The sequence below is a fragment of the Homo sapiens genome, chromosome 14, assembly GCF_000001405.40.
Source record: "Homo sapiens chromosome 14, GRCh38.p14 Primary Assembly".
Classification (NCBI taxonomy): Eukaryota; Metazoa; Chordata; class Mammalia; order Primates; family Hominidae; genus Homo; species Homo sapiens.
Window position 1 is genome coordinate 54,768,096 of NC_000014.9, and position 25,579 is coordinate 54,793,674.

A 25,579-nucleotide genomic window follows, 5' to 3' on the forward strand; every position below is an offset into this window, starting at 1 on the left:
CTTGGAAACTCAGGCCAGTTGTCCTTCAGGCTGGCACCAGACCAGCTCAGTATTATAGTTTAGAGACCTTGAAGTCATTTGCTGTGTGCTATTGGAGCTCAAGGTCATGTTGAATACTTAACGCGATGAACAGCCGTATACCACCACCAAACGGCCGGTCTGTGCAGTCCAAAACAAAACCCCAGTGTGACACCTGTGAGTGGCATCTATTTGAACCGTTATTAAGAGCGAGGCACGTTCCAGGTATTCTAAGTGTTGTTCATGTGTTATTTCATTCTCACAACATCCTTTTGAGGGAGATATTATTATCCTCAGTTTCTAGGAGGCACTGAGTCTTGGGTAGAGGGGCATGCGTAAAGGCGTGCAGGGATTCGAGCCCTGCCCATCTGCATCCAGAGCCTTCCTCTGGCCCACAACTCTCCTCCCCAGGTCACCCTGACCAGCATGCCCACATGTGTCCTCACACAACATGTGGCTGAATAAGCCAGTCAAAAGCAGAAATGATCCCCTCTCGCTGTTAGTCCAGCAGAAACGCTTGCCTTTTGCCCAGTTTCAGAGGTACTCGTGTGTAGCTGGACATGCAGGGAGCATCACCAACCAATGAGAGGGACTGTGGAGGAGAGCCACGCCCTCGCCTCCTAGCCCACCTTGATGCATATTCTTAATGGCATCTGGCTAAGGTCACCCGGGAAGAAGGGGTTTGTAAGTCCTCAATGACGTTTCTGCCACATGATTAACATCCTTCTGCTTTTGTCCACAGAGTTCTCCTGGTATTTAGGTCCTTAAAGATTCAGCATCACTGGGAGACAACTAAGCTGTCATTTTTTTTCTCCATTTAAGGAATCTGTTTCCTTTATGGGAACTAGTCATTTAGTCTGTTACTGAGTAATATTTTATGACTACTTAAAGGAATTCATGCCCTATTGACAAAACTGCTTCGGAAACTTCTCTCCCTCCTTGTTACTGTGAATCAATCAAATCACATGGATTTCCCACAGCACGTGTTCTAAGTTACAGTTCTAGTCACTTGGCAGGGGATTCATATGTGACGTGGGGTCCTCACCATCTAGAACACCTCATGTTCATGCTCTACCTGCAGCAGAATTACCAGGGCACTTGGTACAAACACAAACTCTCTAGACATCCCCTTCAGATCTACTAAATCAGGCTCTGGGCATGTGGAAGGGAGCCCAGGTATCTGAATTTTGACTGTCTCCTTGGGTGATTCTAATATATCATGAATCTGAGAGTTCCTGCCTTGGAGACTCCTAACCCACATAAAGTCCTTTCCTAGTCTGTGGCAAGTACAAAGGCTAAACGCAAAAGGAAATATAACATAGGTAAGAGTTTGTTACAAGGCAGCAGGCAAAACACACACACCAGTTTTGCTAGAAAAGAGTTCTGCAGGCATCAGACCTACATACTTCCCTAAACTTTAGAGAAGGTTTAAGTCAGGACTGGTACACTGGAATTTTTGTAAGGCAAGAGACCCATTAACTGGAGATGTCTCAGCAAAGCCCTGAAACACAGAGAATATAGTCCATTCTCTGACACCCTGTAGACCACTCTAGGGTGCCCACACACCATCAAGCAGATTGATTTTTGGAGTGGTTGAGAATTTTCATTGATTATGAAAATGCAGGGGGCCTGCAAAAGCCAGAGTATTCAACAATCAATTTTGCAATTCATTCTTGGTTAATAAATAGAGTCTGGAGTGGAGTCAGGAGGGAGGGGGAATGTGGATATGGATCTGCCAGAAATGTCACCAAAAATGAGGGTTGTCAACAGTTTGATGCGTGTACCTTATCACGCACCTCCAATGTCAGATAACTTAAATTTTCAAAATAGGGCAGCTCCCAAATTAAACTGACTACGTTTGGACCAGGTTAGAAACAGGTGAAGAAAAGGCAACTGCAGAGACTCCAATGTTTTCCCCTTATTAATTGCATGTTTCTCCCTCTAATGCCAGGCTGCGTCACCCATTTAAAAGTCCTGTTTGTTTTTGCAGGCATTTACAGAGACACAGAAAAAAAGATTGTTGTCATGGAAACAGCAGGTGCAGAAGCTCTTTCGGTCTTTCCCTCGGAAAACCCTTCTAGACATATCAGGATATCGACAGCAAAGAAAGTATGTTGGGATTTCATTCTTTGTAATGCGTAGTGGTTCCCCTGGCGCCTTGTTGCCTACCTCGGTTCCTGGGGCAGGAATATGGCAGGGCACCATTCCTTGTTCACGAAGATGCCCTGTGGCGAGTTCCAAATTGCATTGCTTAAACAGGTGGGGCTGGGAAAAGGCTGTGAGAGTGAGCATTCCCAGGCGAAGAGCTGAATGTGAGCTTTTGTAACACAGTTTGCATTGTCAAAATGATGGTAATAGTCCGGATGGGTATCAGAGGGGAGAGTGGGTATGATTTAACAAATGCAGGCAAAACACAGGATGGCTTACCCACAAAAGGGGGATCTGAAAGGATAAAAATGGGTTGTTCTATCAATCAGCACCTTAAGTGGTAGTGTGATTTTTTTCCCCCTTCGTGCTGTAGACAAGCTAATTATAGTTGGTGGCAGGGTGAAGAGCCCAGTGCTAGTCTATTTTGGTCTGCAGTCTCATAGTGGAGCAGTACAATTCTTGATTTTTCCATAGTACTTCAGCTTCTTGCACGCAGTTAAAAATAAGCCTGGTTGTACTTTAGAACCCATTACCTTAATATAGTTTTAAATTGAGGAATCCAATTACATATTAAAGATGAACTGCAGTGACAATTTGTGGGAGAAATTAAGGGTAGAGGAAGGGTTAAGCCTTAAACAATGATAGGGAATTGTTGGGACATAAGGGAATGAGAATGTAAACATCCTGAAAAATTAACATTCTATTTTACACTTTTAAAACATGAGCAGATAATTTCTTCACTTGCACCTGAAAGGGTCTGAATTCATTTCATTTCTCGGTGCATGTATAGAAGCTCTCTGCCCGTGGTGTTAAAATTTTGGGCATTTATTTGCGTAAGCGTGCCTTAAAACATCACTATTTTGGATTTAAGGGAGATAAGGCCAGTTGAAGTTTGTGAAAAGACTTCATGAAAGATTAATTTTAACACTGAAGTGTGATCACATTCCAGCATATATAACGGTTATTTATTAAACAAACATTTATTTAGCACTTACATATGCCAAGTGGTATCCAAGCACTTTAAGAATATTAATACATTTAATCCTCATGACAACCATGTGAGGTAGAGCTGCTGTTGTTAACCCCATTTACAGACAAGTTCATAGGCAGCAGCATTGGGGATTTGAACCAGGCAGGCTGGCACCAGCTCCAGCTCCATGCTTTTAACCCTATGGAAGCCAGGCAACTCTCATGGTCTCAGGATGATGAGCAGAAAAGATTGTTCAGGCAAAGCGACACTCTTCAGGACCAGTTCCCTGGCCCCAAGCCCTCTGGGGTTGCCAACCCTTGTGGGTTGGACTAGACTACCTCTTTGCCCTGAGGATTCCCGATGGCCCAGATGAAAGGCAAGGTCTGCTTCCTTGGCCTCCTGCCCTGGGGCCTACCCCCATCCCAAGTGGCTTTTCTCTGAGAGCAGCAATACTTTTCCCAGGTGAATAGAAAAGGTTCCAGACTCCTCTTGCAACACCAGGCCCTTGGGAGACAAGTTCCAAGAGGAAGAAGGCATTCGGAGGTTGGAGATGAAGATGGGGCGGCTCTTTGCTGCTCCTCCCAAAGTCCCACCCTGGCCTCTGTCAGCCCTGTGTTGTCATTGGTCCACATCCGAGAGCCTTCTGGAGGTGGAGCAGGGGACATGAACCTTGACCTCTCCAGGGTGTTTGTTAGTAACACTTGGATTGGGCTAACCCAAGGTTTGCCAGGTTGGAGTCCTAATGGACCCCTTTTAATTGATTAGATAAGAATGAATCGCTTGTGGATGTTCAACTGGATGTTACTATAAGGCTGGAAAATGTTTTATACTCATAAGTATTTCCTCTGGGATCTTTTTGTGCTATTAATTTGCTTTGAAGACCTGTTTCTCCAATAATACAAAGGTAACTGCAACCCAACCCCTGCTTGAATTATCACAAATCCCAAATTAATTGGTTCTTATTAATGTTACTTTATCAAAGACTTTTCATGCATTTCAACATTTCAGTGTAATGAAATCAGATTTAGAAAGGTAAGGCAAGAGAATGAGAAAGGAAAACTTGCTTTTGTCACTTTGTTCTCTCCCCAGAAAGCATTGATGATTTCATTAAGCCTAGCGATCTTAAGTAACCCAAGCATTCACTCTGGTTGCCAGCAGTGGCAACCCTCTGCAAAGCTGGCTTTGTAATAACCCTCGAAGGGTCCCATCAGGAGAGAGAAAGATGGCCTAGCCAAATTCTCCCCTCATCACGTCCTACTCCCCTCCCCTATACAGCTGAGTCCTAAGAGTCCCTGGATCCCTCCTTTCTCCAGTGACTATAAGTATCCCATAACAGAGTCCTCTTCCCACATTATATTGCTTAAGAATTCAGTCTTGCCTTCCTGGAAACACAAATCATTTTAGCATCACTCATTGACTCTGTATTTTGCATATGAAATAACTTTTTAAAAATCCAACCAAAAAGGAAAGTGAGAAAACGCTATCCACGCTAAATAAGGAAAAATCATAGCAGAATACTGAATCATCTACCAGGTGGCCAAAATTCCGACTTCAGAACTCAAAGGACTAGTTTTCGTCATTAAAAACAAACAAACAAAAAAAAAAAACACTCGGCCCTTGTCTCTACCTCACGTAGTCAGATTGTCCTTCCTCCAAAGGAGGTCTCATCATGTGAAACTTATTCTACCCCTCCTGGCCCTGAGTTCTTCCTTCAAACCAAAAAATCTGAAGCCTTCGTAAAAATGAAAACGAAATTTTTAAAAGGGAAAATGGGAGAAAAAAGGAAGAAAGGCCAAGACAAAGATACCAAGAACCTGTGAGTGTCCTCCTCACCACATTCAGATGAGCTTCTGACCAGAATCTAGAACTCCTTCCTTGGCCACCAAAGCCTGGAAGTAGAAAGGCACAAGCCCAGAATTCTCCTTCCTGCCACTTCTCCCCTTAGGAAATTTAAGAATTCTGGGGAGAAGAGAAACATTTTCTGAGATCTGCACTGCTGGCTCAGATGCCCCTCCCCCTACATACAGGCACAGCTCTCTTTCTCAGGAAATGACTGTTCTGCAGGCCCCTATCACCCTCAACTGGTTAAACTACGTCAGCCCTGCTTCCCGGAGTCTCCCCACAGGCTTGGTACAAACCTCCCCTGTGTCGCTGGAAAAGCAGATCTCTTCCATCTTGTGGCCACTGGAGGTAAAACATTTTGACTTCAACATCCGTGAATGACTACAGCTGACTCTTCTTGGAAAGAATGTGCTGGTTCCTGAAACCCTGCCGGCTGCTGTATAACCTCCCGGACCTGAGGCGTGTCAGAGAGGATGCGTTCTTCAGTGCTGAGGTCACCCAACCCAACGGCAGCGCCGGCATCTGCACGTGATGCTAAGGGCTCTGGCAGCCTCCCTGCCCGGACCCAGGAGAAGCATGGACCTGCCCTGGCCCTTATGCAGCCGACTTTGCAGGGAGGGCCTGTGAAGTGAAGGCAGTCTGTGTCCTAGGTCCAGAACACTTGCAAACATCATCTCCGACCTTATATCCCTCGCCCCACAGGTGGCATCAGCTCTCCCATTTGAGGATGCGTCATGATGGCAGAGACTCATTGGTTCATTCATTCAACTGCATTCACTGTGCAGAAACTGATTCAGGCACCGGACATGCAGGATGGATGAGGACAGACATGGAGCTTACATCCTGGTGGGCCTCACAGGCTTCTCCAAGTCCGCCACACAGACAGGCTGAGCAGAAACAATGATAGGATTAAAGAAGGGAGCCCTGGGACAGGAGTCAGACCAGTTGTGACCCTGACTCTGCTGTTTTCTTGCTATGTGGCCTCTCAAAAGCATGTGAGTGTTCAAGACCTGTGTCCTCATCTGCAGCAGCATGGGTTGGAGAAGATGCGGTAGGGAGGCGCAAGGCGGCAGGCAGAGTGCTGGTGAACCTGCTGAGCCTGCGTGCCAGCGCTGCCCCCTGCTGGCTGTGTGACCTGTGCACAAGGATTACGCGCTGTTTTACTTCTCCAGCTACAAAGGAGAGAGCACCTACTTCATAGGGTTGTTGCAAGGATCGAAAAATAATGTCGAAGTCCCAGGAAGTTCCATGTGATACCGCCTCTCAGATGTTAGCTGCTGTTTTAATTATAGTTATTTGCTGGCACACAGCTCCCTGTAGGCTTCATAACTGTCAAAATGTGAGCAGAGGCGGGGTGCAGTGGCTCACGCCTGTAATCCCAGCACTTTGAGAGGCCGAGGCAGGAGGATCACTTGAGCTCAGGAGTTCCAGACCAGCCTGGGCAACATGGTAGACCCTGTCTCCACCAAAAATATAAAAATCTGTAGTCCCAACTACTCAAGAGGCTGAGTTGGGAAGATCGCTTGAGCCTGAAAAGTTGAGACCAGCCTGGGCGACATAGTGAGACTCCATCTCTACCAAAAAAAAAAAGTTAGCTGGGCATGGTGGCACATGCCTGTAGTCCCAGCTACTCCAGAGGCTGAGATAGGAGGATCACCTGAGCCCAGGAGGTCAAGGCTGCAGTGAGCCTAGATCTCACTACTGCACTCCAACCTGGGTAACAGAGTGAGACCCTGACTCAAAAAAAAAAAAAAAAAAAAAATGAGGAGACCTCCAAGGCGACATCCCTTGGGAAGCCTGTGGCTTAAAAAGGGCTGAATAACGACTGATATTCTCTTCCTTCTCTCTTGGCTCTCACAGTCGAGGCTTTGGGCAATCCAACTCCCTCCCGACGGCTGGCTCTGTGGGCGGTGGCATGGGCAGACGGAACCCGCGCCAGTACCAGATCCCCTCTCGGAACGTCCCTTCCGCCCGCCTGGGCCTCTTGGGCACCAGTGGATTCGTCAGCTCCAACCAGCGCAACACCACAGCTACCCCCACCATCATGAAACAAGGAAGACAGGTTTGTTCTGCCCCAAGGAAGGAGGAGGATGGCCAAGCTCAAGGCCCAAGGCTGCAGATGTCCCCCCAGGTGACCCCAGGGTGGGGAGAGAGGCCAAAGGGGACTATGCTGGGGGCAGTTGCCACCATTCCTCAGAGGTAACAGCATTGTTCGCGTTGTTCTCTAGCAGACAGAGCAACCCCATAGCTGTGTTTAGGATGCCCAGAGGACCACTTTAACCTTGGGGACCCTGCACAAGAGGACCTTTAGAAAGAAATGCAAGACCTATTTCTTCTTTGCCCCATGCTTGACCTTCTGCCACCCAAATCTGGGTTCCAGGAGAGCCTGGCATTTAGAGAAGTTTCTTGCCCTTTTTATCCATGGCAAAAAGCTCCTTTGTCTCAGTCCCAGCTCTGGTGGAGCATCCACAGGACAAAGTCTGAGAGAGTGTGCCAGGGGGAGAGTTAACACATTCTCAGCCTGCCCAGAGGTTCTTGCTGTGCAGTTTAGAGCTGACTTCTCTGGCCCGTCGCTCATACCCCTCTAGCCCCAGGCCCCACCCCTGCCCAGTGCCTTCCGCCTGTGTGCCCAGAGCTTCTCGAAGCTCTGTGGGTAGGGATTAGGATCAGAGGGACACAAGTAGGTCTGAGGTTCTGGGGTCTCAGGAGAAACTAAGGGATGACAGATCAGCTTAAAAACAGGAAAAGGGCTTCAGGCAAGACGGGCAGGATTCACTACCCAGGGTACCAGAAAGCCCCATCTTCTGACCATTGTCCCCAGCCCCCAGATCAGTTCAAGAAGACGTCACTGCTGGGACACACAGGCTGAGTTGTGCCAGCTCATTGCCAGCTGAGAGTTTCTTTTCTCTCCCCCTCGCTTTGGAGTACATTGTAAGAATCTTAAAAAAAAAAAAAAAAAAAAAAAAAAATCAGAGCCCTGAAATAGTTTGTGCTCTTCGTTGCATACATTTATAGAACTCCCCCATTTCCTAGAAAAGTGGCAGGGAAAAAGCAAAAGCAACAAATGCGATAAAAAGAGTTCTGCAGATAGGGAAAGAGGTGTCCAGATGAAGCTGAGGCTTACAGCAAGGCCACCACTGAGGAGGTGAAGAGAAATTACAGTGAATGGAATCTAAACCCTCTCTCTATAAATAAGCAGATGCTAGCACTGGCCTGCAAGCCCCTTTTCTAGAAGTTAGAGTTCTCCTGGGATCTTTGCCTCCCAAATTCTTGCTGGCGGCTCTGCTCTCCACCCCAGTGGGGCTGAACTAACAAGTTCCCCTTTTGCTTTTCTCACCAGAACCTGTGGTTTGCCAACCCCGGGGGCAGCAATAGCATGCCAAGCCGCACCCACAGCTCAGTCCAGAGGACCCGCTCGCTGCCCGTGCACACTTCCCCACAGAACATGCTGATGTTCCAGCAGCCAGGTAGGGCCCGGCGCTTCATGTCCCCTTGACACAGAGGGGAGGCCAAAATAGATGCCCTAGCAAACCCAGCCAGAAAGTGCTTAGCCTCGACTGTCACCGTGCATTCTTTGGAGCTTATAGAAGCCTTTCCTTTTTTAAACTGTGCCTTGCCAGCATGAATAGCGGCGGCTTGGCTGAGAGCCAGCATGTGGAGCCCCAGAGTTGGTTGCAATCGGATGGGGATATTTTTGATACTAGTCATATTTCTAGATTGATTAAACCAGAGATAGCACAAGAGGGCTTTGGTGGTGGGGAGGTGGGAGGGCTCCATGTGTAGTGTGTGTGTGTGTGTGTGTGTGTGTGGAAAGAGAAAGTGAGAGTGAGACAGAGAAAGAGAAAACTGTTGATGCTGAGACCTTCCCCCTGGTTTGGGCTTTTCTTGCAAAGTGATGACTGTTGTACCAGCCATCTTTCCTTTACTTGGTTAAAGAGCAACTTAGCACACTTCAGATCAATTTCAGCTTTCACTATGCTTCCTAAAACAGAGTGGTTGGAATTATGCACAGCTAATGAATACTTGAACCCTTTCTCTATGCAGGCAGTGATCTTGTAGACTTTGTAGACTCCATGAGTAATAACAAGCCACACAGGCAATTACACTGCACCTATCTGGATGGACCCCCCCCCACCCCCACTGCCCCAAGGCAGGCAAACTGGAGATGTGTTGTACCTGTAGGAAAATGCCCTGGACAGTAGAAACGCTCTGTCCAGTAAGTCCTATCTGTAGGAGTTTAAAGAAGAGAAGTGTTACTGTGGCCTGGAATAGGCAAGGAAGCTTCCTGGAGTTGGAGCTGAGCTTCAGGGCACAGCAGAGGGTGGAGAGAGGGAAGGCAGAGTTACAGGCAGAAGGAACCCAGGAGCAAGACTGCAAAGGTCCAGAATACCACAGCATGGCCCGGAAGCCGTGGCTGGGCCAAAGGGTCTGGCTGAGGTAGCAGAAAGTGGACCCAGGGAGCTGTAAAGGTCGTGGCCGATGGTGGGGGACTTTGAATCCAAAGCTGAGGAGCTTGGACTCTGGCCACTCTCCCTGGGGGGATTCCTCCACATGGGGGATTCCGAGTAGAAGTCAGGCAGGAGGGTGCAGGATGATGGGGTGGGGGGGTAGGCTGGAATTGGGAGGTCAGGGAGGAGGAGGACGCTGGAGGACACACTGCTGGGAACGGCATGTCAGGGAGGGGAGCGACAGCTACCCAGTGCAGAGGCCTGCTCACATTGCTTCTTGACTTCCAAAACTCTGCTCACTTTTGTTTTAAAGCTCCTTTTCTCTATATTTATGCACCAAAATATAACAATATAATTACACATATTTCTATATGCTTAGCTATTTTTCTTCCTGGGAAGAAACATGATAAAATTTGGGGGTTCTGAAGGCTTTATCCCAGGGTCCTTTCATCCCATCCTCTGTTTTCACGCAGAATTATGTATAATCCATTCCCAATAAAAAAGAATCTGGACAAGATTTGAAGAGGTCCTGCGCACAAGGAGATCTGTCACCTTGAATGGGTCTTTCACCCTGGCCTCAGTCTCACCAGCAGAGTGACCACTGTCTTCAATTCTGTATACCTTCTCAAGGCCTTCTTGATTTTTTCCCTTCCTGCCACTCTTTTGCCAGTTCTCAGCCTTCCTCTTTGTTCATACTGAATCTTCCCTGAGCTTTCTCCATCTTAACTGGGAAGACTAGGTCCAGACAGTCCCCTTTCTAAAAGCTGGGTTGTCCCGGAGCGCTTCGGGTTTGTTGATAGAATCTTCCACCTATACCTTTGTTTCCCCTCCACTATCTCACAGCAATGCCAAGTGGCTGGCTTGTGCTCAGGGCAACTATGAACCTAATATCATTTTCACTCTTCATGCAAACCCTCTTGTTCCTGTGGTTAAAGAATCAAATAATACAGAAGTGCTGTGAGCAAAAAGTGACTGTCTCTCTCCCCTCCCCTTCCTAGCCCACAGGCACAACCCCTTTTAGCAGTCTGTAGTTACCTGCAAGTCTCTAAATAATATGCTTCGCACACTGGACTTAAAACTCTGGAACGCTTTGAGTGTTTTTTTTAAAATCTCTCAAGTATTACAAACCCACTTCCAGCAAGGTCTTAAAGATCCTCACATGGCATTTTTAATAACAGCCAAAGCACAGGAAAAAGCCCGCTCTAAATTTCCTGATTGCAAATAAACCATTGAACGCTGGACAGGAGCCACTCCTAAGTCCTGCCCAGCACGCTCAGCACCATGCTGGGTGGCTCTTCCAGGACATGCATAAAGGGCATGATAGGGCAGGGCCTGGCCAGGACCCAGGATCCCTCACTGAAGGGGAAGGAGGCTGCAGAAGGCCCCTGCTTAAGGGCACAGGGTTGAGGTTCCTCAGCCCTTGCCAATCATTGTCAAGGCCACAGGTCACTGTAGTGACTTTTCCTTCCTCCCAAGGAGGCAGCCTCCTACCCAGGGACGACACCTCTGACCTCCAAGCAGGTCCAGACGAAGGCTCATCCTAGAGTCATAGAGTCAGGGTCCTCATCCTGGATTCAGAGCCGCTTCTGCTCTTCCTGGATTCAGAGCCTCTTCTGCAGATGGGCCTTTCCACACAAAGCAGTGCAATCTGGTTCGCTATGGAGACTTCCCGGGGCTTGTGGCCAGGCGTTAAAACTAGACTACAAATATCATGTCAGGACAGCAAAAATCAGGAAGTCAGAAAGTGGCTTTCATCTGTACATGAACAGGAGTAATAGTGAACACAAAATGAAATTGAGATGTGTAACTAACCCAAAAGTAGATACTCGGAAAACTGTTATCATACAATGCAGTGTTTTCCTCCTGGCTGTTAGATGTCTTCAGAGAATCCATTGTAAACTGGGCAAATCTTGAAGACTACAATGCATTTGAAGGATGCTTTCATTCTGTAAACCTAAAATAACTCTACTGATGGGAGACTTTAAACGTCTCATACAGAGAAGACAGAGGGCTAGAACCCACCAAGTTGCGGATCAATTCATCAGTCACCTTGCTCGGGTTTACAGGACTCATCCCTCGTTCCTGGTTCTACACAATTCACGGGCACTTGGAGGCCCCTCAGGAGTGGTGTTTCATGTTATTCCCACATGGACAAGCTTTTTTTTTTTTTTTTTTTCGAGACGGAGTCTCACTCTGTCACCCAGGCTGGAGTACAGTGGCGCAATCTCAGCTCACTGCAACCTCCACCTTCACATGGACAAGTTTTAGCTGTTTCCTGGGACCAGCCAGGAGACCCTTCAGGTGGCTATTGCCAGTGATGAGTAAGAAACACTACGAGGTGTAATACGCTCACCAGAAAACAAGTGTGGCGCCTGTGCGAATGGTCACGTTCCTCATGGAGGCAGGGCGTTTTCTCAACTAGATAACTGGTTTGGAAATTGCTTGGAGAGGGATCCTTTATTTTGGAAGCAACTAATTTCTACTGACCCAGGCTTAGTTGTCCTTGGGATCCAGTCAGAGAGGATCTTGGAGTGGCCCTGGCTCAACAGTAGGAGATCATGGAGGTTCTTTACCCCCTGGAGGGCCTAACAGAAAAGGGCAGGGAACCCCATAGCAGGCTTCAAAGGAAAACCTTCAGAAGGGTAGGCTGCACAGCCTTCTGAAAATCTCATTCTTCCCTTGCCCAAAGCCACATGCAAACTACCCTTGGTTGTGAACCAGCTGGATGTGAGCTGGGTCCAGTGGCACCTCACATGGCAGCATTTCATGGTGTGACTTACCTGATCACCACAGCAAACCTCCTCTAAGTACCAGCTCACAATTGGGATTCTTCTGCCATAAGCACGCTGCATATATCTGGGAGCACAGGGCTCCAGGCTGTTATTTTTCATTTCCTTCCGGAGAACTGCCTTTAGAAAGAATAGAGAGTTATTGGTGCACTGGGTCCAGTGGGGTGTGGAAGGGGCTGCCATGCAGAGGCAGAAACCAGAACAGGGACCCAAGTACAGTACTGGATAAATATTTCCTCCATGTCTTCTAATAAATCAAGGCAGACATCCCTGTTCAGGACTGGCAGACAATGGGTAGGGAGATTGATAAATAAATCAATTCTGTCATAGCCAAGAACCCAGCTGGGCCCACAGCCTCCTGCCTCTGAGCATCAACTTGGGGCAAGATGGTACAATATCATCTTATACCATGTTGTACCCATCACTTTTTGTGAAAGCGTTGGTCCCAGAGGACCTCCACAGGCACTGACCTTCTGCAGGCTTAGGAATGTTAGGAGGCCACCAGAGAAAAGGTGCGTTCCCATGGTCAACTCAGGGATGCTATTCATTACTCCTGCCACCCTCCATGGCCATCTCTGCCATCCTCAGCTTGCCTGCTGCCCCACCCCTCTGTTTCCCTGCCTGTGCCGTTTCTTTCCCTTTTGTTACCATCCTCCCCCTTTCTTCTTAGTTCTCTTGTCTTCCTTTCTTCTTTACTCATCTCATCACAGCAGACCAGGTCCCACTGCTCTGTCCCTTTTTGTCTTCCCTGCTTTCTCTCCTCCTAGCAACCCTGCTGCTCAGTGAACCAGACTCCACACCTTTCTAGTTATCCAACAGAGTTGCCTCCGCTGTCATTGGCAAAACGGGATTCTATAGATTTTTCCTGGAATGCCCCAGCCTGTTTCTTATTCTAAAGTCCTAAAGAAATTGGCTCCTTACCCTCAGTGCCTTGGAGAAAAAGCACTGCAGAATTGCACCGTGGGTGCCACACATGTGAGACCCAGCAGGGATGGACGGTTACTGCCAAGGACAAGCCCTTTGGGCTCCTCAGGTGGATGCTGCAGCAGCACCTCATTAGGGATGGGTAGCATTCTCTTCCGGAATCTTCTTGACCCTGGGCCTGAGCACAGGACTACTCCATACGTGTGGGACTTCTGAAAAGATACAATTAATGTCTCAAGTCAGCCTAGACCTTGGGGATTCCAAAACTAGCGATCCTTACTGAATACTGGAATACTGGTCCTCAGAGATGCCATCTGAGCTGAAGAAACATGCCTCCTTTGGGAAAGAGCAGAGGAGGCTCAGTTAAAGAGGGGTCTTTCCTTTTGCCTTCCTGAAGACTCACATCTCCATCTGCCTGGTCTGTGGCCACGAGGGGCAGGGGCCTGGGATAAATGAGATGGGCCCTCAGGGTTAACAGGAGCCACAGCAAGGGTTGGCCTGGTGGTTTATGTTGGTCTGTGGGGCAAGAGCTGCCCGAATGCCCCTCTGGGGCACCTAGCCCCATACAGCTGAGGGTTCCTAGCCTGAGATGGAAGCTGTTTTCCACCCAACTGGTCTTTCTGTCTTATACGTGCGGCGAGATGGCATGGATCTGTTTTTATCAAATACACAATTAAAAAGTCACACTATTAGGAAACTCTGCAGTGTGAACATATGGGCTTCTCCCAAGACTTAGAATTTTTCAGAGCCACTCGGAGTGTTGGGGGTCACGGCTCCCCAGTGCATGGAAGCAAAGAGCTGGGGAGAAGAAGCGAACACCCCCACTTCCCACCTAAAAGAGCAGCCACGAAGGTTTGGGGATTCTGGAGCGGAGAGCCCTGCGTTTCTCAGCCCCCTTTTTGGAACACGCAATCCCAGGCTTGGAAAATGGCATTTTGCTGCGTGTTGGCAAGAAATCCTGCAGCTGAAACACTTCTCTCCAAATGTCGAGCATCTTTATTTATCCAAATCTCTCCACAGTGTTTGTTTAAAGGGGAGCGCTGGAGAGTAAACTAAATCTTACAATGAGCATATGGATGGCTATAATTGCTGAGGTTTGTTTTTTTTTTTCATATTTGCTAACTCGCTATATATAAAATTGTGTTTCTATTTTATAGATTTCACACCCTGAAGACTGCTAATTTTTGCATGCATATGATTTTCACATGAATGGATGAAAATACTAAAATCTCTTCCCCCTGGAATTGTCTAATTGCCCCGACCCTACTCTAACAGCAACTAGTGGGTGGGGGCGGTGGAGACTCCTGCCATTCTCTGTGGCACCCCACTTCCCTGGAAGCTCAGTCGGCCTCCGTCTGCTCACGTATTGGCACGGTTGTCTTCCAAACCCATCGATGCCGGAACATGGGTCAGGAAGAACACAGTCAGCTCTCTGGTGCTTTCCATAGCGTTCCTTTTTGCCAGGCTTCTGAGATTTTTAAATAACGGAAGCAACATCTGCCTCTGAATTAGCTGACAATGGGAAACACACATTGCAGAGATTATCTTAATGTATAGCAAATCAAGGAAAACAAAACTTTGACTTAACCATTGGTTTCAGCTTCCTATCCCACCAAGCCACCAACTTCGTTTCACTTCTCTTTCTTCTCTCTCTGGCCCCATGTGCTCCCTTGGTGGAGACATGAAGGAGCAGGCAAGTGGCCTGCAGGGGGACCCCGGGATGCTTTGCCCACTTGACAGGTAGAGGAGCTAAGGCCCTCAGCATGGAACAGGTTCCCAGGCTCACAGAGGAAGGTGGTGGCAACACGGAGACTTCTCGGTCACCTGGAACACACCCCGCTGTGGACACCCCCTCTGGGACTTTTTTTCTGCCTCTCCCCTTAGGATTTTGCAATTCTTTTCAAACCAGTGTCACAAAACTTTAAAAAAAAAAAAAAAAACAAAAAGGATTTCACAACTCTTAGCTGTCAGAGTTTCCTTCTACTTCTTCTACTTTCTCTTTTTCTTCGCTCAGTAGACATGTATGAGGCAGAAGGCCAGGGCTGGGCGCTGTGGGAGATTCAGAGAGATAGGGAAGCATCATCACTGTCTACAAGGCACTTCCAGGTAGTTGAGGACATTTAAAGTCGCCACTGGATGAGGCCTGCGGAGGTGCTGACAGTGAGGGCTCCAGCAGGTGAGAGGAGGTGGCTCCCAGACACTGCCTCCTGCTCACAAGAGGCGACATTGGAACCTGGGGAGATAGAGGGGTTCCAGGTGGTAGAGGGGAGATTGTGGTGAGAATGTGCACAGCACTGTCGGTCAGTGGGAGCCGAGCCCCTACTGCCTGCAGAGTGGGTGTCTCAGCCCTTGATTCTAGAGGCCCTCGAGGCTGAGTGTGTTGACAGTTACCTGCAGTTGCTGTGGCAGGTGGCTGAGCCCCGGCTCTGGAGTCAGAGAGGGTCTTGTCCCAGCTTTGTGTTAGTTGGCTAACTTTGATGAGTGACTTCACCTCTCTGAACCCCACTTGGGCTTGTTGGGCAGATTAAGGAGCCCGCACACCTAAAGCCCCCCACGTGGTCTCACACTAAGAGGTGCGTGCTGGGCCCTGGCTTTCCTCTCCCACTCTAGATGCATGCCAGGCCCTGCTCTAGGCACAGGGGGCAGAGCCATGTTCTGCTCCAATGAGGTGAGCACTCAGCGGGGTCAGGGGAGGGGGACAGTAGAAAGTGAATACAAATATCAAATATGACAGCTGTGGGCGAAGGCTATGAAGAAAAATAAAGCAGGGGAAAGGGATAGTGTGGGGGCATGGCTCATACAAGGAACAAAGTCCTTTCCAAGGAGATGATAGAGCCAGAAATGTGAAGGCAGGGAGAGCCATGGAAACCACCCCAGGGAACAGCGGTGCAAAGGCCGTGAGGTAGGAGGGGGCCTGGGGCAGAGCAGAGGAAGGAGAGAGCTGTATGAGGGTACAGAGATAACAAGGGCCTGGATCATGCGGGGCCTTATGGGCCAGGGCAGGAGGTTGGCTGTTACTTTGATGGGAGGCCGCTGGAGGGTTCTGAGCAGAGGAGGCACAGACTGTGACATGACCAGCTATTTTTAGTCTCCGTTTTGTTCCAGGTTCCCAAGTTCACAGTGGACTGTGTTTAACAGACCTTAGAGGTTGGTTGAGCCTGAGTGGAGCCCCTTCCATGCCAGCGCTGACAGTCCCCAAGTCCTCCCAGGGAGGTACACCAGACCTTTCTCCTGAAGGTGGAACCAGGTGGCACCCTGCTTATCTCCTCCTTGTCACCAACATAACCCTTTATCGCCTGCAGAATTCCAGCTTCCCGTGACCGAACCTGACATCAACAACAGGCTGGAGTCGTTGTGCCTCAGTATGACCGAACACGCCCTGGGAGGTGAGTGTGTTCTTCCTGCATGTCCCCATGTCCCTGTTACCGTGTGCCTGGGAGAACTGGCCATCTGCTGTCTATACCGTGGCAGGAGCTCAGGAGAATTGGGGGAGGACAAGGAGGGGTAGGCAGGGGACAGGGAGAAAGAGTGGCCTTAGGGTACTGTTGGACCATTTTCCAGCGGCACCATGCCAAGTGGCCAGTGCCCTGTTTCTCCTCCTTTTCTGGGAGGTGAGTCAGGGACCTGGCAATCAAAGCTGTCCCTCTGTCCCCAGAAGCTCCACCTCCCAGTGCACATGGGAATCACACCACAGCAGTTGTCCCAGCCAAGTGCCAGGCCTGGAGGAGTCAGGGACATGAGACATGGCTTTTAGTAGGAATATCCCGCACAACACTGGATGCTTCCCTTCTCTGCACTAGATCCCCCAGCCTGGTCCAAGCATAGCCCAGCTTGCCTTAGAAATATAATTTTTGAAAAACAGAAAACCCAGCTTGTTTGTGTATCTCCCAGTTGCAAACAACTTTCTTGACACCTGGAGCCCAAAGCAGGCTGAGGTGTCCTTTCCTGTGTGACAGGGACAGGTTGAGTTAGAGGCGCCTGCACGTCCACTGCCCAAGCCCAGAATGGGGGCTGTGCTGTGCAGGGCTGTGGCCCCACAAGCAGCTCACAGAAGCATCTGTGCTCCCCCGTGTGTTTGGCTGGAAGCCATGCTTGGTCACAGCAGCCCTGGGAGGCCTTCAGCTCCCTCCTGGTACTAAGCGGGCACCTTTCTCTGGGCCTGGATATTTATGATGCTTGGCAGGCAGAGGAGAGAAGAGATGTCTGCCATTTCCTGCCAGCTTCCTGGGAGGCTCTGTGCCACAGAGACACAGAGAGGCCTCCTGTGAGCCTTTCCAATAGCCCTATCCAGTCTACACTTGCTCTTAGCCAAAAGGCCGAGAAGCGATAGCCCTATCCAGTCTAGACACACTTACCCACCCAGAGAAGGGCTGTCTGCACACCTAGAGCCAAGACGTGCGCCACCTGGCAGTGGTGGGGAAAAGACTGCCATCCTCTGCTGCTTCAGAGAGCCTTGTCCTCCAGACCTAAGGTTGTTAGATTTTTAGTCTCTGCAAACACAATCTTATCCTGAAACCAAATATGAAATAGATCAGTGCTCTGCATGGAGCAGAGTGGTGGGCCCGGGACCACACCCACCTGACCTTAGCATCAGGGGGAGCTGAAAGCCTTCCAAGGGCATCACAGAGCTTCACCAAACAGATGGTGGGAAGACACAGCCCCTTCTGTGACTTCCCCCAGAGCTCTATAAAGAGCCTCATTTGCGAGCCACTGCTCTCTGCCTTGGCCATTCAGATCTCAGGAACATCACTGGGCCATCCCTGGTACCTCTGGCAGGAGGTGCTGCCAGCTCATCTTTACCTCATAGAGGAGACTGGGTCAGCAGCCCCCTAATGAGAAATGGGAGACAACTCAAATGTCCACCAAAGGATGAACATGGCTCAAAAAAATGTGGTGTATCCAAACAGTGAAAGAGCATTCAGCCTTTAAAAAGCAAAGAAGTACCAACCTATGCGATGCAGTGGATGAATCTTAACATTATGCTGAGTGAAACAAGCCAGGCATAAAGGACCACAGAGCGTATGATTCCATTTATGTGAAATGTCCAGGATAGACTAATCTACTGGGACAGAAAGTAGATGAGTGGTTGCCAGTGGCTGAAGGGAGGAGGATGCAAATATTCTGGAATTAGATAGTGGTGAGGGTTGCACAGCTTTGCAAATATACTAAAAACCACTGAATTGTATACTTTCAAAGGGTGCAATTTATGATATGCAAATATTTCAATTAAAAGTAGTAATGACAGTCTCCCTGGGGCCAGAGTTAGGATAGCAGCTGGTGAGTGAGTCCCCTGAGCTGGCACCTGCCAGAGCTCTGACATGGGGAGGGAAGCCCCTGTGCTCCCCTGCTCGACAGTGGCCAGCTGGGTGGGGGACTGACTCAGTCTTTCACTGCTTTTGACCAAAGAAAAAGGAGAACTGACCTTTTCCCCCAGGGCTTGATACATCTCAGACAATTGGCATTTTGGAGGCTCATATCAAACTGCTAAGTACCAACATTATCATCATTAGCAGCAAGAATACCAAATGCTCTTTATTAAAGGAAGGTTTTCATTGAAAAGACTTCGTTTTTTTCAGTCTGTTCTGTTTTTACAGAAAACCTCTCTGAACCGATGGGTTTTTTGCTAATGTTTTCATCTTGTTAATCTCCTAAGCTTTTTTAGTGCTGTGTTTTTTCCCAATGATCTCCTCTGGTGGGAAGCCTCGTAAGCAGTTTCCTGAGCAGAGAATGCAAATTAAGTTCAGGGTGGCCTAGTTGGGCACAGTGGCAGTGTGCCCTCCCAATATGACAGAGCTTCTCTGCTGGCCAACCCCTTCCAGGTGCCAGGAAAGATGGCCTTGCTGGAGACAGTATGCTAATGAGTCAAGTCCTTTTATGGGAAGAGGAACGGGCAGGGAGAGGAAAGCACAGTGAAAGAGGTTCCAATGCTTGCAACTCAGGAATGGAGAAAGAGAGGCTCACATCTGTTGGCCTCTAGGATTGGTGATCTGACACCACTGACACACTCAGGGACCATTGCTTCCTTTCTTTAAAATCTCCCCTAAAATCATACAGAACTTATATACAAGTGCACTGGGTCTGTTTGGACTATTACTTACAACAGCATGTGAACCTACAGTTATCTCAAAAGTTTCAACTGAGGAAGTGCTTCTCCTCCAAGGCCCCACTGGCAAGAGTTGCCAGCCTGGCTCCACCCACAAGGAAGCCAGGAACCAACCCCCTGTGGTGGCCTCAGCACGCCTGTCACTTGGGTCCTCCAGCTTTCCCTGGAACACACTGCCACTCCCTTCTCACACCCAAGTTCTGCCAAGCAAATAGAGATGCTGCATCTGGTGGACCAGTTCTGTAATATTGGGGCTTGGACTGGGACATCAGCAAAGCCAGGGAGGCACCCCACAGCCCTGTCTCACCCACATTTAGTGGTCACTGAACGCAGTTATTCCTACCGCCTGTGATGGCTAATCCATGCCTCTCTCTGCTCACTGGAAAAAATCCTTGTCAGTTCTGGCACAGACTGTTATAGGGGCCTCTTAACTGGTCCACCTGCCACCAGCCTTATCCTTCCTCAGGTTATCTGATGCAGCTGCCAGAGAAACCATTCTAAAATTAAATCTCATTACTCTACTGCTTATAATTCCCCAACTACCTACCTCTAAGCTCTTGTTCATGGTATGCAAGACCCTATGGTCTGCTCCTGGGGACCGTTCTAGAACCCACGTGTAAGCAGACAGCCAAAAAGGGGCCGGGCAGGCCTCACACCTCTGATGGTCATATCCCCTGCCTTCTCTGTAGCCTGGGTCATCCACTTCTCCAAAACGTAGATGTGGCAGATTCTGGGCGGCCTCAGCACTCTCCCACCTCCCCAAGACTGTTCAGTTCTAAGTGCCCACAACACCTACCTCAGACATCTCTGCCTTTGATCAGATTCTCGAGACAGAGAATCTGGATTTGTTTGGGTCAGATGTGTCCATCCCTCTGGTCTGCTCAGCTGTGGACAGGGTCACAGCCACCTTGTCCCCAGTGTCTCATCAGGGACGTGGGTTGAGAAGGAGAGGCTGCCAAAGAAAGGGATGTGAGCTAGACAGGTCCACCTGCGTGTCCGTTGCAGCCCCTGCCTGGCTCTTCCACCCCATCTCCTCTACTGCATTCCCCATCCTTCATCCTAAACCTCCAACGCACCCTCAGCTCCACCACCGGATGACCTATCATCCCACCTATGCATGCACCGCACACCATCCCCACCCTCCTCCTCCTGCCAGCACCAGCTACAAAAGTCACTTTGTATCTCTCTGAAACTGTCCTTGACTTCCCAGGCCAACCGGGCAGCCATCATTCCTTCCTCCACGATCCTGCTCTCTTGGTACCTACTCCATTACAGCAGTGATCACATATAGCATTATTGTCTGTCTACATGTCTGTGTCTACCCTCAAATATAAGTACTTGGGAGGTGAGGATTAGATATTTTCATCTTGGTTCTCAGGTTCAATATGGCTCCTGGCAAAAATAGCTGTTCCCCAGATATCATGTGGGTGGGTATGTAAATGCGTGAACACATGAACGTAGGTGCCCTTCTCTGCCCTCAGAGGCTGGGAGGCCCACCGTGCATGGCGTTGGCATAGGTGGGCACGAACTGGATTGTTTTGCTCACCTGTGCCCATCGTTTGCTGCTTTCTCTCCCAGACGGGGTTGACCGGACCTCCACCATCTAGAAGCTGAAGACGAGAGTGACCGCGCTGGCCGTGAAATCGACTGCTGCGGGTCCAGTGTCCGCCATCTTCAGGGTTGCACAGAATCCTCCAAGATACTTTGCAGCCTTTTTTCCCCCTGGTCCCTCTCCCGTTTTGATTTTGTGAGAGCGTAGGTCATCCTCGTAAACATATCAGTAGACCTGGGGTTGGTTATTTTGTCATTTGTTTCTGTCATGGGATGGTTTGGTGTGTGGGGTGGGGAGGGGTCTCTAGGGAATTATGAGACTGGGAGGGGGGTGGAGGGAATGCAGGTAGCTCTCTGGATGGAACGGGGACAGGGGAAAGAGTACTGCCATGAAAGAGATAGGAGACACATAAGAGGACAGCAGAAGCCCTGGCCCTGGGGAGGCTTCTCGGAAGGCCTGGCTTCACAGGCAGGCCACAGAAGGATATCGCGGGCACGTGCACCCAAAGCAAGATAGTGGCTTCCCTTTTATATCCAATCTAATCCTGATTGGATGTCCCTGAGGCCCCTGCTGGAAACAGCCATAGGAGAGGGCCCATGGCAGTAGGGGAAAGAAGGAAGAAATTCCCTGCAACAAAACTTCAGCTAAACTTTGATTTGTGTATTGTTTACATAATAATTTTAAAGGGTACATAATGTGTAAAGAGTTTGGATAGAACCTCTCTTCATACTATGGTTTTCGTAAAGGATCTGTTGTTGTTACGGATTCATTTTTTCCCTCTATTTTTATAAGAGCAGCAGAGTTGTCTTCTCAAAACGGCTGCCAAGCTCTGCTTCTTGGGAAGATGGATGCAGTCATGTAGGCCTGAGCTGTCCGTCTTTCACCGTTAGGTGGGAGGAGCGTATGGGTGGACTTGAAGGACATGGACGTGGCTGGAATGAGCACAGCATTGGGTGAGCGCACAAGGATGAGGACATCATGTGATCAGTTATGGGTTTGCTCGCAGGGCACCCAGAGATTCTCAAAGAATCCTGCAGCCTCTTTCTGTGCTGGATTTGCTTGTCACGGAGAGGCCTCCCTCCCTTTCCACCCCACCCATGGGGCATTATCCTGTCACTCCCAGCCTTGCTCCACACACACACAGGTGGGTACAAGTTCCACTGGAGGAGAAAAGGCAAGGATGGACTTTTTCCCCTTGTGAGAGGTTTGATACCCAGAAAATGAGCTCAAAACCTTTACATTAGGGTTGCTTGTAGGAACTGGAGCCTGGAGGCTGCATCTACTTCACCTGTCACTGCTGAGGGAGAGGAGGGGAGAAAGGCCCAGCAACAGCGTACAGAGGGGTCAGTCAGCAAGTCCAGAGAGCACATGCAGGGAGATGTTTGGCCCACACCGCACAGCCCCGCCATCTCCAGTGGGCGATGAAAGATGTAGGAAAGGTTGATTTCAAGATGGAAATGACAGCGCTATCCGCACAGTATGAATTAGGGATTTGCTGTGTTAGTTGATTTATCCATCCACACAGAGGGGAGGAAAAAGACACTCGTTACTTGGTGGGAGATTGAGAAACTGTGGTACCTACCACAAAGTAATAGCTCTGTTTATGAAGGGCAAGAAAGGCTACATTTCAGAATTTGACACAGTGGAGGGTATTAGAGGAAATCAAAGAGGAGTTGTGTGGAAAATCAGGTTGTGTAAATGAAGGTATGAATGCTCAGCCAGAGGCAAGATCAGGGAGATGGTACAAGGCCTGTTTGTTACATGGATGAGTCGGGTGCCTGGTTGTGTGTGTGTGTGTGTGTGTGTGTGTGTGTGTGTGAAGTCAGAGTTGAAATTCAGAAGATCAGACTATGGAAATCACTGCCCTTTTTTTTTTAAAAGCTAATGAACTACATACAGACCTAAAAGGCCTTAATGAAATCCGAACAATTTTCTTTTACTTTCAAGATCAAAAACATGCACCCAACCCAGCCTTGGATGCCACCACCAGGTTTTTGAAGCCCTTTTGAGTCTAAGAAGGTGAGAACAATGTAACCATAGAAAGCCTTTCGTGAGCAGAGAAGGCTTGAATCCACAATTTCATTCGCTGAATTAAAAAAAAAAGGTTCAGACCTCTCCTTGGGTGACTAAGTTCTAAAGATGCAAATCCATGTGCAGAAAGAGATGGCATTTTTTAGTTGATTATTTTTAACCAAGTGCCATTAACATTCATCCCCCACATCCCTTTTCTAAACAAGCTTAGTGTTACTTGGGGAATGTGTTGGGATGGACGATCACATGTAAGGCAGGAAGAATAGGTCAAAGGTTGAAGGCCAAAGGTAAGACCAGAGGGTTTGCGAATGTGGGTTTGTAGGATACTGAGAAAGTGAATAAAGAGGAGAAAAAACCATGGTATTACACATCTTGCTGAGAAAGGAAAGCATTCGGATCTGCTGCAAAAACACATATATCCATAAAGACTCATGTTATTCAGAAAACAGATTGTGAACACAATCACATTCGCATGAATCCTTTAAAAGGAAGAAGACCTTAAAGTATCTGCAAATCTGAATTTCTATTTATTCCTTCACTGAATATAGAAACAATGGTTATCTGATTATTAGAGATATTATTTTGGATATGTTACTTATTAACTTGCTATGGCTGGTAACCATGATAAAGTCTGTTATTAATAACAACATAATTCTTTTTTTAAAGAAGAAAAGCTTATTTTTCATTGACAGTGTATAGATTTATCTACTTAGTTGTGTTTTGCTATTAGTGTTTTAATTTTTTTTTTAAGTTGAGTGTTTGATAAATTTTAAGACCCTGTCCCCACCTTGTTTTGAGTCCTGTGTTGACTACAGGTATATAGCTCAATTTAAAAATCCTAAAGCAAAAGAATTTTATTTATAAAAGAATCAAACAGTTGCATGCATGAGGCTGTGAAGTCAGATATTTAGTAATAAAAGCAGCAGTGCCTTTTTTTGTATTTACCCATTGACCCCCACCAAATGCAACTGTTTTATATTAAGAAAATAGTAACAATTTTAAAATCTCAGAGTAAAATCTATTTCACTACATGCTTTTCCCCCCTTGTTCTGATTTAAGCAGTGTGTACTTGGCATCTCTACATTGTCCTAGGGACAGTGGTGTTCTACAATATTATCATGTATGATGTTTTATTGGTGCTTTTTATTCATAGTGGCTTCTTACCAGAAACAGTAGGAAGAAACACATGAACTGTGTACAAGACATGAAACATTGCTGCTGATATGTTGTTTTTTCACATGCTTTTGAGTTTTCACTTTTTAAACGAGAGCCAGCAAGCAAAATAGATGTGGCTGGGTCTGCCTGTCCGGGCGGCTCTTTGCACCGAGCTCTCAAATCCTGTGTATTGAGGGTTCCTTTTTGGTACTCAGGATTGGAGCTACAGCTGGGCCCCCCTCTCTCCCATTCGTTTGAAGAGACACTGAGGGAAACAAGGGTTTCTTTTGAGGTGTCCTTGGCTGCCTTTTACGGGATGGGAGCCTTCTCCGGATCTTTTGTTCTTCTGCACCTCTTGTAGCTACTGCCGGTGCAAGGTTGTAGATGTTATTCCCCAGGAGCCTGGGCTTGGGGGCTGAGCTGGGCTGAATGCAAAAGCATGCAACCAGAAGGCGGGCAAGGGGAGGAAAAGCAGGCCTGGCCTCATTGGTCCCCTGGAGATGTCTGTAGCAGTCAGCTCCAGCTTGGGCCTGGGGAAGCAGCCTGACCAAGGCGCTCAGGTGTGCCTGTTACAAGAAGAACCTGCAGAAGGATAATTTGCACATGGAGCTGTGATAACACTAATGTTGATTTTTTTTTTTTTTACAAGTCATCAGAGATGTTTGCAAAGTGAGTTTTATTTTTTTGTAATTCCTTTATCTTTACTTAAAGGTGAATGTGTATTCCTCTGGGAGGAATAGGAAGAAAACAGGAATGTTAATAATGTCGAACAGAAAACTTCCTCCCTTATTAATATATAATCCTCATGTATTTATGCCTAATGTAAGCTGACTTTTAAAAAGCTTTCTTTTGTTGCATGCCCTGTGCAGGCATCTGTATTGTACATGCATGCCTTTCGTCCTGTTTTCCTGTATAAAGTTAGTGAACAAAGAAATATTTTTGCCTAGTTCATGTTGCCAAGCAATGCATATTTTTTAAATTTGTCATATATGGAAAGAGCATGTTTGTTACATGTAAAAGCTTTACTGATATACAGATATACTAATGTTTGAAGATGCTGTTCTTTGCAAGTGTACAGTTTTCAAATGTTGTTACCAGTGAAACACCCTTGTGGTTTAAACTTGCTACAATGTATTTATTATTCATTTCCTCCCATGTAACTAAGAATCATGGCTATATTTCATATCAACGTTATATTGAAAGTGAAGGGAAATGATTAATACAAGGTTTTGTAACACTGGTGTGTCTTTTTCTTTTTTTCAACATACATGATTGAATAGAAAATAAGAACTGAGGCCTGGCGTGGTGGCTTATACCTGTAATCCCAACATTTTGGGAGGCTGAGGCAGGTTGGTCACTTGAGGTCTAGAGTTCGAGACCAGCTTGGCCAACATGGTGAAACCCTGTCTCTACTAAAATACAAAAAAAAAAAAAAAAAATAAGCCAGGCATGGTGGTGCATGCCTGTAATCTCAGCTGCTTGGGAGGCTGAGGCAGGAGAATCACTTGAACCTAGAAGGCAGAGGTTGCAGTGAGCCAAGATCGCACCACTGTACTCCAGCCTGGGCAACAGAGGGAAATTCTGTCTCAAAAAAAAAAA

General features: G+C 47.8%; 1 protein-coding gene across 17 annotated transcripts in view, besides 4 other annotated features; it reads left to right on the plus strand.

Annotated features, from left to right (window-relative positions):
• SAMD4A (sterile alpha motif domain containing 4A) overlaps nucleotides 1-25,220 on the plus strand; it is a 228,000-nt gene extending 202,780 nt beyond the window's left edge. For 7 of the 17 annotated variants that reach the window (XM_047431137.1, XM_047431136.1, XM_047431140.1 and 4 more), the window contains 6 exons: nucleotides 2,009-2,127; nucleotides 6,839-7,040; nucleotides 8,319-8,445; nucleotides 16,245-16,352; nucleotides 16,442-16,525; nucleotides 20,821-25,220. In XM_047431137.1, the coding sequence (XP_047287093.1) occupies nucleotides 2,009-2,127; nucleotides 6,839-7,040; nucleotides 8,319-8,445; nucleotides 16,245-16,352; nucleotides 16,442-16,525; nucleotides 20,821-20,849 (669 nt within the window). In that variant the 3' untranslated portion in view covers nucleotides 20,850-25,220. The remainder of the gene's footprint in view (nucleotides 1-2,008; nucleotides 2,128-6,838; nucleotides 7,041-8,318; nucleotides 8,446-16,244; nucleotides 16,353-16,441; nucleotides 16,526-20,820) is intronic. The other 10 variants (XM_047431138.1, XM_047431144.1, XM_047431146.1 and 7 more) reach the window with 4 other exon arrangements.
• Nucleotides 4,897-6,096: an enhancer, noted in NCBI's record as "P300/CBP strongly-dependent group 1 enhancer chr14:55239710-55240909 (GRCh37/hg19 assembly coordinates)". NCBI's record gives its function as "activates an origin of replication core promoter dependent on BRD2, BRD4, P300/CBP, MED14 and CDK7 cofactors, with strong dependence on P300/CBP, by STARR-seq in HCT116 cells {active_cell/tissue: HCT116}" and the evidence as "EXISTENCE:reporter gene assay evidence [ECO:0000049][PMID:35650434]".
• Nucleotides 4,897-6,308: a biological region, named in NCBI's record as "P300/CBP strongly-dependent group 1 enhancer GRCh37_chr14:55239710-55240909".
• Nucleotides 5,380-6,308: an enhancer, noted in NCBI's record as "NANOG-H3K27ac-H3K4me1 hESC enhancer chr14:55240193-55241121 (GRCh37/hg19 assembly coordinates)". NCBI's record gives its function as "activates a minimal SCP1, AML or CMV promoter by ChIP-STARR-seq in primed H9 embryonic stem cells {active_cell/tissue: H9 hESC(primed)}" and the evidence as "EXISTENCE:reporter gene assay evidence [ECO:0000049][PMID:30033119]".
• Nucleotides 6,182-6,231: an enhancer, noted in NCBI's record as "active region_8417". NCBI's record gives its function as "activates an Ori minimal core promoter by ATAC-STARR-seq in GM12878 lymphoblastoid cells {active_cell/tissue: GM12878}" and the evidence as "EXISTENCE:reporter gene assay evidence [ECO:0000049][PMID:35858748]".
• Nucleotides 25,221-25,579: the final 359 nt, after the last annotated feature.